Source organism: Homo sapiens, chromosome 3, assembly GCF_000001405.40.
Source record: "Homo sapiens chromosome 3, GRCh38.p14 Primary Assembly".
Classification (NCBI taxonomy): Eukaryota; Metazoa; Chordata; class Mammalia; order Primates; family Hominidae; genus Homo; species Homo sapiens.
Genome location: NC_000003.12, coordinates 91,509,773 through 91,522,352, shown reverse-complemented (window position 1 = coordinate 91,522,352; position 12,580 = coordinate 91,509,773). Strand labels below are relative to the sequence as shown.

The following is a 12,580-nucleotide window of genomic DNA, read 5'->3' as shown; positions in this document are numbered from 1 at the left end:
CAGAGAGTTGAACATTCCTTTTGATAGAACAGTTTTGAAACACTCTTTTTGTATTATCTGCAAGTGGACATTTGGATCTTTTTAAAGCCTTCATTGGAAATGGAATTTCTTCATATAAAGCTAGACATAAGAATTCTCAGAAACTTCTTTGTGATGTGTGCATTCAACTCACGGAGTTGAACCTTCCTTTCAATAGAGCAGTTTTGAAACACTTTTTTTATAGAATTTCCAAGTGGTTATTTAGAGCCCTTTGAGGCCTATGGTAGAAAAGGAAATATCTTCATAGAAAAATTAGACAGAATCATTCTCAGAAACTGCTTTGTGATGTGTGCGTTCAACTCACAGAGTTTAGCCTTTCTTTTGATAGAGCTGTTTTGAAACACTCTATTTGTAAAGTCTGAAAGTGGATACTTGGAGTGCTTTGAGGCCTTCTTTGGAATCGGGAATATCTTCACATAAAAAGGAGACAGAAGTATTCTCAGAAACTTGTTTGTGATGTCTGCACTCAACTCACAGATATGAACCTTCCTGTTCATAGAGCAGTTTTCCAACACTCTTTTTGTAGTATTTGCACGTGGATATTTAGAGCGCTTTGGGGCCTAAGGAAGAAAAGGAAATATCTTCTTTGAAAAACTACAAAGAAGCATTCTAAGAAACTACTTTGAGATGTTTGCATTCAACTCATAGAGCTGAACATTCATTTTGGTGGAGCAATTTTGTAAAAATCTTTTTGTAGTATCTGCAAGTGTGTATTTGGACCTCTTTGAGGCCTTCGTTGGAAATGGGAATTTCTTCGTATAAAAACTAGACAGAAGAATTCTCAGAAACTTGTTTGTGATGTGTGCATTCAACTCAGAGAGTTGAACGTTCCTTTCTATACAGTAGTTTTGAAACACTCTTTTTGTAGAATTTCCAATGGATATTTAGAGCCCTTTGAGGCCTGTGGTAGAAACGGAAATATCTTCATATAAAAACTAGGCAGAATCATTTTCAGAAACTACTTTGTGATGTGTGTGTCAAACTCTCAGAGTTTAACCTTTCTTTTGATAGAACAGTTTTGGAACACTCTTTTTGAAGAATTTGTAAGTGTATATTTAGAGGGCTTTGAGGCCTACGTTAGAAAAGGAAATATCTTCTCAAAGAAACTAGACAGAAGCATTCTCAGAAACTTCTTTCCAATGTTTGCATTCAACTCACAGAGTTGAACTTTCTTTTTGATAGAGCAGTTTTGAAACACTCTTTTTGTAGAATTTGCAAGTGGCTAATTAGAGGGCTTTGGGGCCTATGGTAGAAAAGGAAATATCTTCATAGAAAAACTACACAGAAGCATTCTGAGAAACTGCTTTGTGATGTTTGCATTCAACTCAAAGAGTTGAACATTTGTAACACTCTTTTTGTAGAATCTGCAAGTGTATATTTTGACCTCTTTGAGGCATTCGTTGGAAACGGGAATTTCTTCATATAAAAACTAGATGAAGAATTCTCAAACTTCTTTGTGATGTGTGCATTCAACTTACAGAGTTGAACGTTCCTTTCATTAGAGCAGTCTTGAAACACACTTTTTGTAGAATTTCCAAGTGGATATTTAGAGCGCTTGGAGGCCTATGGTAGAAAAGGAAATATCTTCATAGAAAAACCAGACAGAATCATTCTCAGAAACTAATTTGTGATGTGTGCATTCAACTCGCAGAGTATAACCTTTCTTTTAATAGAGCAGTTTTGAAACGCACTTTTTGTAGAACTTGCAAGTGTGTATTTTGAAGGCTTTGAGGCCTATGGTAGAAAAGGAAATATCTTCATATAAAAACTAGATGGAAGCATTCTCAGAAACTACTTTGTGATGTTTGCATTCAACTAACAGAGTTGAACATTCCTCTTGATAGAGCAGTTTTGAAACACTCTTTTTGTAGAATCTGTAAGTGGATATTTGGACCTCTTTGAGGACTTCGTTGAAAATGGGATTTCTTCATATAAAACTAGACAGAAGAATTCTCAGAAACTCTTTGTGATGTGTGCATTTAACTCACAGGTTTGAACCTTCCCTTCAATAGAGCAGTTTTGAAAACCTCTTTTTGTAGAATTTCCAAGTGGTTATTTAGAGTGCCTAGAGGCCTATGGTAGAAAAGGAAATAGCTTCACAGAAAAAATTGAAACTATCATTCTCAGAAACTACTTTGTGATGTGTGCGTTTAACTCACAGAGTTTAACCTTTCTCTTGACAGAGCAGTCTTGAAAACTTTTCAGTAGAATTTGGAAGAGTATATTTAGAGCGCTTTGGGCCAATGGTAGAAAAGGAAATATTTTCACATAAAAACTAGACGGAAGCATTCTCAGAAACTACTTTGTGATGATTTCATTCAACTGACAGAGTTCAACGTTCCTGTTGATAGAGCAGTTTTGAAACTCTATTTTTGTAGTATCTGCCAGTGGATATTTGGACCTCTTTGAGGCCTTCGTTGGAAAGGGGAATTTCTTCACATAAAAACTAGACAGAAGAATTCTCAGAAACTTTTTGTGATGTGTGCATTCAACTCACAGAATTGAAACTTTCTTTTGATAGAGTAGTTTTTATCCACTCTTTTTGTAGAATTTGCAAGTGCATATTTAGAGCGCTTTGAAGCCTATGGTAGAAAAGGAAATATCTTCATATAAAAACTAGACAGAATCATTCTCAGAAACTACTTTGTGATGTGTGCATTCAACTCACAGAGTAAAACGTTTCCTTTGATAGAGAAATTCTGAACCACTCTGTTTGTAAAGTCTGCAAGTGGATATTTGGAGCGTTTTGAGGTCTTCTTTGGAAATGGGAGTATCTTCACATAAAAAGTAGACAGAAGTACTCTCAGAAACTTCTTTGTGATGTCTGCACTCCACTCACAGAGTTGAACCTTCCTTTTGATAGAGCAGTTTTGAAACACTCTTTTTGTAGAATTTCCTACTGGATATTTAGAGCGTTTTGAGGCCTATGGTAGAAAAGGAAATATCTTCATAGAATAACTAGACAGAATTATTCTCAGAAACTACTTTGTGATGTGTGCGTTCAACTCACAGAGTTTAACCTTTCTTTTGATAGAGCTGTTTTGAAACACTCTTGTAGGATTTGCAAGTGAATATTTAGAGTGCTTTGAAGCCTATGGTAGAAAAGGAAATATCTTCATATAAAAACTAGACAGAATCTTTCTCAGAAACTACTTTATGATGTGTGCATTGAAGTCACAGAGTATAACCTTTCTTTTGATAGAGCAGTTTTGAAACACTCTGTTTGTAAAGTCTGCAAGTGGATATTTGGGGCGCTTTGAGGCCTACGTAAAAAGTAGACGGAAGTGTTCTCAGAAACTTCTTTTTGATGTCTGCACTCAACTCAGAGAGTTGAACCTTCCTTTTGATTGAGCTGTTTTGAAACACTCTTTTTGTAGAATTTGCAAGTGGATATTTAGAGTGCTTTGAGGATTATGGTATCAAAGGAAATATCTTCATAGAAAAACTACACAGAAGTATTCTGAGAAAGTACTTTGTGATGTTTGCATTCAACTCACAGAGTTGAACATTCCTCTTGATAAAGCAGTTTTGAAACACTCTTTTTGTAGAATCTGCAAGTGGATATTTGGACCTGTTTGAGGCCTTCGTTGGAAACGGGATTTCTTCATGTAATACTAGACAGGAGAATTCTCAGAAATGACTTTGTGATGTGTGCATTCAACTCACAGAGCTTAAACTTTCTTTTGATAGAGCAGTTTTGAAACACTCTTTTTGTAGAATTTGCAAGTGTGTATTTAGAGCGCTTTGAAACCTATGGTAGAAAAGGAATTATCTTCACATAGAAACTAGACAGAAGCTTCCTGAGAGACTACTTTGTGATGTTTGCCTTCCACTCACAGAGTTGAACATTCCTCTTGATAGAGCAGTTTTCAAACACTCTTTTTGTAGAATCTGTAAGTGGATATTTGGACCTCTTTGAGGCCTTCGTTGTAAATGGGGTTCCTTCATATAAAACTAGACAGAAGACTTCTCAGAAACTTCTTTGTGAAGTGTGCTTTCAACTCACAGATTTGAACCTTCTTTTCAATAGAGGAGTTTTGAAACACTCTTTTTGTAGTATTTCCAAGTGGATATTTAGAAAGTTTTGAGGTCTATGGAAGAAAAGGAAATATCCTCATGGAAAAACCAGAAAGAATGATTCTCAGAAACTAGTTTGTGACTTGTGCATTGAACTCACAGAGTTTAACCTGTCTTTTGATAGAGCAGTTTTGAAACACTCTGTTTGTAAAGTCTGCAAGTGGATATTTGGTGCGCTTTGAGGCCTTCTTTGGAAATGCAAATATCTTCACATAAAAAGTAGACCGAAGTATTCTCAGAAACTTATCTGTGATGTTTGTACTCAGCTCAGAGAGTTGAACGTTCCTTTTGATAGAGCAATATTGAAACACTCTCTTTGTAGAATTGGCAATTGGATATTTTGAGCGCTTTGAGGCCTATGGTAGAAAAGGAAATATCTTCATATAAAAACTAGACAGAATCATCCTCTTAAACTACATTATGATGTGTGCATTCAACTCATAGAGTTTAACCTTTCTTTTGATAGAGCAGTTTTGAAACACTGTTTCTAAAGTCTGCAAGTGGGTATTTTGAACGCTTGGAGGCCTTCTTTGGAAGCGGGTGTATCTTCACATAAAAAGTAGACAGAAGTATTCTCAGAAACTTCTTTGTGATGTCTGCACTTAACTCACAGAGTGGAACCTTCCGTTTGATAGAGCAGTTTTGTAACACTCTTTTTGTAGAATTTGCAAGTGGATATTTAGCGAGCTTTGGGGCCTATGGTAGAAAAGGAAATATCTTCATAGAAAAACTGCACAGAAGCATTCTCAGAAACGACTTTGAGATGTGTGCATTCACCTTACAGAGTTTAACTTTTCTTTTGATAGAGCAGTTTTGAAACACTCTTTTTGTAGAATCTGCAACTGGATATTTAGAGCGCTTTGAGGTCTGTGGTAGAAAAGGAAATATCTTCACATAAAAATTAGACAGAAGCATTCTCGGAAACTACTTTGTGATGTTTGCATTTGACTAACAGGGTTGAACATTCCTCTTGATAGAGCAGTCTTGAAACACCCTTTTTGTAGAATCTGCAAGTGGACTTTTGGATCTCTTTGAGACCTTCGTTGGAAACGGGATTTCTTCATATAAAACTAGACAGAAGAATTCTCAGAAACTTCTTTGTGCTATGTGCATTCAACTCACAGAGTTGAACTTTCTTTTTGATAAAGCAGTTTCAAAAAACTATTTTTGTAGAATTCCCAAGTGTATATTTAGAGCGCTTTGAGGCCTGTGGTAGAAAAGGAAATATCTTCCTAGAAAAACTAGACAGAATCATTCTCAGAATCTACTTTGTGATGTGTGCCTTCAACTCACAGAGTTTAACCTTTCTTTTGATTGATAGAGCACTTTTGAAACACTCTTTATGTAGAATCTGCAAGTGAATATTTGGACTTTTTTGAGGCTTTCGTTGGAAACGGGATTTCTTCATATAAAACTTGCATTATTTTTGTAACCAGATAGATGTCAAAGGGCAAAATTTACCCAGTAATACTAATTTTTAAAATGAGATTTATATAAGAGTTAGTGATCGGTTATACTTATCTAAAAACAGTGGAAACTGTATTAGTTAATTCAGTGGGCTAATATAGTTTTAATAATGAAAGGACATCTTAACTCACCCCTAACCTTTCAACAATAATGAGAAATAAGCTATAAGTTATGCCAAATTGTATGATGGTTTTCATGAAATAGCCCAAACTTAGACAACTCGTTTAGGCTTTGCAGATGCAAACTGTGATAGATCTTCCCTCTCTTTCATTCCTGGTGATTTATGTGTTTGGTACATTGTTTTGTTTTCTATAAAAAGAAAAAAAATTAAAACACAGTTGGAAGCCAAAGTCGATTTAACCTGGATAGATATAGCTTTCTAGTTGTAGAGGAAATGCTAAAAATCTCATTGTGACAGTGTATTGCTTTCTTGGAAGGCTTGATAATTGTTACTTAGTTTAGTTTTGATTTATATTTAGTTTTGCTCAAAGCAGGAATTTGAAAAGCTTTATGAAACATAGACATATACTTTCATTTTTATCAATTAATGAAATTACACACTTGCTAAACTAAACATCTGTTGTGTTGCAAGTGCTAGGGATGCAGTTACCACTCACAGTCCAGTGGATGTAAGTGGTAACTACGTTAGCTCAGAGAAAAATTTCAGAAGAAATGGAGCCAACAGTTCCTAAAATGAAGTTTGCTTTCTGTCAGCAAAAGGTTCGCAGATGGGTTTGCCACTTTAAAGAGCTTTGGAATAGATTTATTACTTCATATACTTAACATGAAGAGATGCATGCTCTTTTTGTAAACGGTAATTGTTTTAAAAGTTGAAAAGAAAACCTTTGGAGAACTCAAAAATCTTCCTTGAAATAATTTTACTCAGAGCATTGGCCTCTCCCTGGTTTAGGAATCATTCTTGCCAGAGATTCAATCTCGAAAGTAAGTTGGAGGTGGGAAGGGGAGGATGGGAGAACTCAAATCATCGAGCACATGTGTTCCAGAAAACTGGAGCTATGGAAAACTTCTACCTAATGTGCTGTCATTGTGTTTTGTGGAATTGGCAGAAGCTGTGTAGTCAGTCAATCATTCTGTGCCTATTGTTTCAGTAATGCTGCCTAAAAGGAAAATTTTAAGAAAATGTCTGATGAAAGACTGATGTAATAACTTTACCCTGGGAGCCAGAGGGAATTACTAGATGATTTTAATTAGGGGTGTGGTTGACTTTCATTTTGAACATTTCACTCTGACCTTGGTATAAATTAGGGAAGGGGCAAGAATGGCAGCAGAAACAACAGTGGAGATGTATTAATAGTTTAGGGAAAAGGAAATGAAGACTGAAATTAAGATGAAGGGGTAGATGTGAAAATCTTTCCTATATGGACTTAACAGATGTCTAGAATATTTTGCTGTTACTGAGGTGATTTCTGTTTGCCTCTATTAGAAAGCATACTATATAGATTGACAGAAGTGACTGAGAAAGCCCACTCTGTCTGCTCTGTTTTCAGAGAACTGACTTTTGAAATGTCTAGATAAATCATTTAAATCGTTTTAGAACACAGCTTTGGTTCTGAGACATGAAATCTCTTGAACAATGAAAATGGCATTTTGTAACAGGATTTGACATTAACAGATAAAGGATGTATTAAAGTATTAAAGTGTTTTGTTTATAGAATTTGATAACCTTGATAACATCTTATATGTTACATATATGTTACTTAGTATATTTTTAATACTTAGTACTTAGTATTTTGATACTTAGTATTTTTCAGGGATACTGAAAGTCTATTGATTGTGCTAAAATTGCAGCAGATCGTCTCACTTTATTGTATTTTAAATTAGTAACTGTCGAGGTGTTGACTCTTGTACAAAATTGGGAAAGCTTCTCCATTATTATCAGAATATGGCACTTTGGCCAACTTTTAAAAAAATATATAAAAGATATTTTTAGATGATAGCATTATTTGCATAATATAAAAATTAGATTTGATGAACTAATGTTTTCCATTTTTAGGAAATTGTAATTAATGTATGAAAAAAATTAGAAAGACAGGATACACTACATAAACCCAAAAGATATCTTTCAGTTTGTTGCTTGTCTTAAGGTTCTTTTTTGTGAATTGTTAAATGATTGATTAGTAAAATATGAGAACCATTTTGATCATAATTGAATCTTGAGGAGATTTATCTTTTATTTTTGTTTTGATGTTAAGTTTACCTCAAGCTATCTGATTACTTTGAATGAATGTCTTTAATTTCCTTGTGTCAAATTCTTATAAAAAGGCATTCTCTTAAGAACAGAGAAGAAAATAGAGATACATAGATATATAATTAATATTGTTGTAATAAAACAGATCATAAATTCACATTTTGATGATATGCTGTCAAGTTGGTACACAGTATTGGCTCTGACTTCTTATTTCCTAGCTCAATTTGAGGTCATATTTCAATATTAAATACTTTTGAGTTGTTTCTGTATACTTAAAAGATATCCTTGGTTCCTTATAGTCATGTGGCTGACAGAATAAAGTACATACACTTCTGTATGTAACCAGTTTCACAGTGGCTTAGCTATAAATCAGAATTTATCTTCCCAATTTATTCATCATCTTAGGACTCGGTGCTACAAGATTGGTTGTTATACAATTTTACATTTAGAAGTTTTTCCATTTTTATTTACAAAGATAATAGTCTCATAAGTGAATGCTTTTTCATGAACTCAGGACACTCCCTTTTACTCTCTGTTTTGCTCACCTTTTTCTTTACTTTTAAACTTAGTGACATACCCTATGTCCTTAGAACCATGTAGCTAGCTTTGATCACGTAATGTGTCAGGTTTTTATATAATTTCTTGATTTGAAAAAAGAGAAATAGAACCTTATATTTTTAAGTATTGCCTCCCTATCTGCCCTTCAGCTCGTTTTACATTTAGTATTCAAATATGTTCGGTGTTCGGCCTTTGCTGTTTTTACTAATTTTCTTCCCTGCTTTTAGTTAACAGCCAGGTCCTTGCCTGCTGTGCAGTCTGATGAAAGACTTCAGCCTCTGCTCAATCACCTCAGGTAATATAAAGGCACAGCCTGTTATGCTTATAAATCCAAGTGCAGTAAAGTGAATAAAGTATATTAAAGTGGTGAAACCCTTTCAATTACTAAAAACTTATTTTTTTTCTTGCTTTCATTCCGTTATTCAAATTGAAGTTCTTAATACCATGGACTCGTTACCCTTGACTTTAGGGCACTGTAGAAAGCTCTTTTAATTCAACAACAGTGTGCTGAACTGCTTGATAAGTTTAAGTTAAATGAGTAGAGATAACTAACTTTACAGAAAGATCTCAAATGAATGAGCTATTTATGTAAATACAAGGTTAAGGCATACTTTTATTGAGGATAGATGAGTTGGATGGAGTTTGTTTCTAAATACAAAAATAATATAGTCTCATTATTTAAAAAATAAAGTTAGAAAATACAGGAAAGGAAAAGGAAAACCCTATCATTACTACTCAGAAATAATATTTATCCTTTCTATGTTTTTTAATTTTAATTTTAATTTTTTATTTTTTGAGATGGAATCTTGCTCTGTCACCCAGGCTAGAGTGCAGTGGTGTGATCTCCGCTCACTGCAACCTCCGCCTCCCCGATTCAAGCAATTCTTGTGCCTCAGCTTCCCAAGTAGCTAGGATTACAGGTGTGGGGCACCTCGCCTGTTTAATTTTTGTATTTTTAGTAGAGACAGGGTTTTGCCATATTGGCCAGACTGGTCTCGAACTCCTGACCTCAGGTGATCCACCTGCTTCAGCCTCCCAAAGTGCTGGGATTACAGGCATAAGCCACCGCACCCTGCCCTTTCTATGTTTTTGTTGTTGTTGTTGTCATTGTTGTTTTTTACTCAGTGTTGAAATTATAGTTTATGTGACTACTTTTTCCATTTTTATAAATATTGTAATATTTTTTCCTTTAGTATTAAAATCTTTCTAAAAACATTATTGTTAGTGACTACATTATATTTTCTTGTATATCTGTACTATAGCATATTTATCTCCCTTTGGGAAGCTTTAGACCATTTCCAGTTTTTTATTCCTACTATAAAATAATGTGATATGTTAACCTTTATTTGTATTTTAGATCATTTTCTTAGGGTAGGTTTTCAGAATTAGAATTACTTTGTCAAAGGGTGTGAACCATTTCAAAGATTTAAGTGTATATGTATATTTCTTTTTCAAAATCTTATTCTACCTATACACTCATATTTGTATAATACTGCCATGTAACTATACTCTGAACAAGATAGGGCAGTCAAAACAGTTGCTAATAGGTTAGACATAGAGATACTGTTGTGATACTGTGCATTTTGTCGGTAATAATAATTCATTTTCCTTATTTTTGAGGTGGGATTAACTACCTGTATTCTTTGCTCACTTATTGATAGCATCTCCTGATCTTATTTGCTTTTACATACTTTAAAGGATAGTGACTCTTTGTTGTATTTGTTACATACATTTTTTCTAAAATTCTAAAATTGTATTAGTCAACATACCTACATTTTCAGGTTTTATGTAGTCAAGCACCAATAGTGTTTTCCTTTATGGTTTTGAAAAATTATTTTTAAACTTCTCTTTCAGAAGTGTGGATAGATTTTTACTTTCACCAGAAAGTTTTAGTTTTAGTTTTCTTTTTCTTTCTTAGTATTTCTTTATTTGTCCTTTCTTTCTTCCTCCCCTCTCCACTTTCCTTGCCTTTTCTTCCTGCTCTCCAGTAACTGTTCCTTCCCAGACAGCTTTTTAACCTTTGTATAATTGTTTTGTTGGGTTACGAAGAAGTCGTAACCTTTGTGTAATTGTTTTGTCGGATTGATCAAGTCTAATATTTCAGCAGGGAATGAATAGCATACATTTTTATGTATAACAACATTTATACATGATTGTTAAATTTACTAGAACTCTGTGTTAGTGAGTTAAGAATCTCAGAAATTATTTTTGAGTCTCTTGCTTAATGTCCACCTGCTGCATTCAACTCTGTTGGCAATTTTATCTCTTGAGTATATCTCTTGCTATCATAGCATCTTGTCTGTTTGCTTTGCCCTTTCTGATATATTTCACATCATTGCCATATGTGTTTATATTATTCATTGGCTTAAGACCCATCTCTGCCTCTCCAATTTCATTCTGGAGGAAGTCCGAACTTCTTAGCCTGGCATAAGAGGTCCTTCTGGAAGAGGCCTGGGCTGTCTGTCTCTTTGGACTCCTGTTTTAACACTGAGATCCTAATTTCACCAAATGCCGTGAAGTTCCTTTAACACAACATGCTTTTTGCTCACTCACCTCTACGGCATTACAAATATTTTTCCTTCTGCCACTTCTGTTTATGTAAATTTGTAGATATATAATATATATAATTTTAAAACATTTCAAATGTATTTAATATAATTTTAAGATATTTTAAATGTATTTAATATAATTTTAAAACATTTTAAATATATAATATAAATATATATTTTAGAAATATATATTTAAAGCATATTGTAGATGTATATAAATACGCAAATCTATTTATATTCTCCTCATGCTCCACTTTTATAACAACTTCTGCTTGTCTTTTAAAACTCATCTCAAACATTACCTCTTCTGATAAGTTTTCCCTGACCATTAATTAGTTCACCTCCGTAGTCTGAATTGGAAGTCTTTTATAGATATTTTCATAATATCCCATGCCTTCCTCTGTATTACAGAATTTGTGATATTGTTATTGTTTGTTTACTGTTTGATTTCTCCATTATAGTATGCTTGAAGGCTTGTAAAGTGATGTTCATATTTGTATTTTCAATAGCGGAGACAGTATCTGGTGTATGATAGGTATTATATGTTTTGTTGAATGAATGAATACAAGTTATATTAGTGAAATTTTGTTGTTTTTTTCTGCATAAAGTTTTTATAATTTATAAATCATCTTGTCAAAATTTTTTTCCTAGAAAACCACTGGTTCAAAAGGTAAAAACCTAAAGGGTAGAATCTAGCTTCTAGTTAATCTCACAGTTGATTCTGAGAGATAATGATGGATTCTCCTTCCTCCATCTGAATATGGTAATTGCCAGCTAGAATTTAGATTAACTACTGACACATCTCTTTGAGTCCTTGAAAGTTGCACAAACTGTAAATTCATTTAAGGGCTTTTATTCTCTGTGGATTTCACTCATGACTGGTTGCTAGGCAACCAGGACTAGATGCTACATGTAATGTGCACCCACCGCTGTTGCTTTATTATTATTATTATTAAACAAAACAGTTTCTCATTTTATTACCATGTCAGAGACATGTATATGTCGGGTGGCAGCTGATGTGCATAGTTTGACACTTCCTGTTCTACAAAGTAACCTTGTGATAACGCCTTTCAAGAATATTGAATTGTTGCTTTTGCTTGTCTAAATGTAATGTTTTCATTTTATCTTCCTTTTGCTTAGTTCTAAATAGGAAATAATATTATTTGGTTTGAGAGATTTTAATAATAATTTTGTTAGAAAAAAATTGATTTGCATGAACTGTGTAATTTAAATGTTACCTAGAGGCGGATGGACATTAGGAGGTTGATACCGAGATCATTATTAGGTCTAATTTTGTTTATTGCCTCTAATGAGGAAAGAGGAATGATGAGTAGCATTTTAATTAAATTTGTCAATAAAACTAATTTGGGAGATAATACAAATACCTGTAAAAATTGAAGTAGCAATACAGAGAAATTCTCAAATCATTTTACAGGATTTAGAGACTCAAAGAGAATTAAGGTAACACTGCCAATCAAATAATCTAGAATATCACTTAACAATATATATTATTTTGAGACTGCAGAAGTGATGTGTCCAAACTGTTTTAGTTGAATCCAATTCTCAAGTACAGAAAAATATCGTGCTTCAATATCTTATGGCAGTACAACTGTGTTTTTAATTCATTAGTATCGTCCATTCACTCATTAATTACTTAGTGCCCGTTATGTGCTTAGAATTT

At 33.7% G+C, this 12,580-nt stretch overlaps 1 pseudogene across 1 annotated transcript in view, besides 1 other annotated feature; it reads left to right on the top strand.

The window, feature by feature from the left end:
• Window positions 1-12,580: part of a centromere (Linear centromere model derived predominantly from reads generated in PMID: 17803354. This region does not represent an actual centromere sequence, as long-range ordering of repeats and unmapped WGS contigs is not provided by the model. For details of model production, see http://arxiv.org/abs/1307.0035.) that runs on past both edges of the window.
• LOC101930420 (DNA primase large subunit-like) overlaps window positions 8,578-12,580 on the top strand; it is a 139,540-nt pseudogene continuing 135,537 nt past the window's right edge. The window contains exon 1 of the transcript NR_172933.1: window positions 8,578-8,645. The product of NR_172933.1 is annotated as a DNA primase large subunit-like (transcript). The remainder of the gene's footprint in view (window positions 8,646-12,580) is intronic.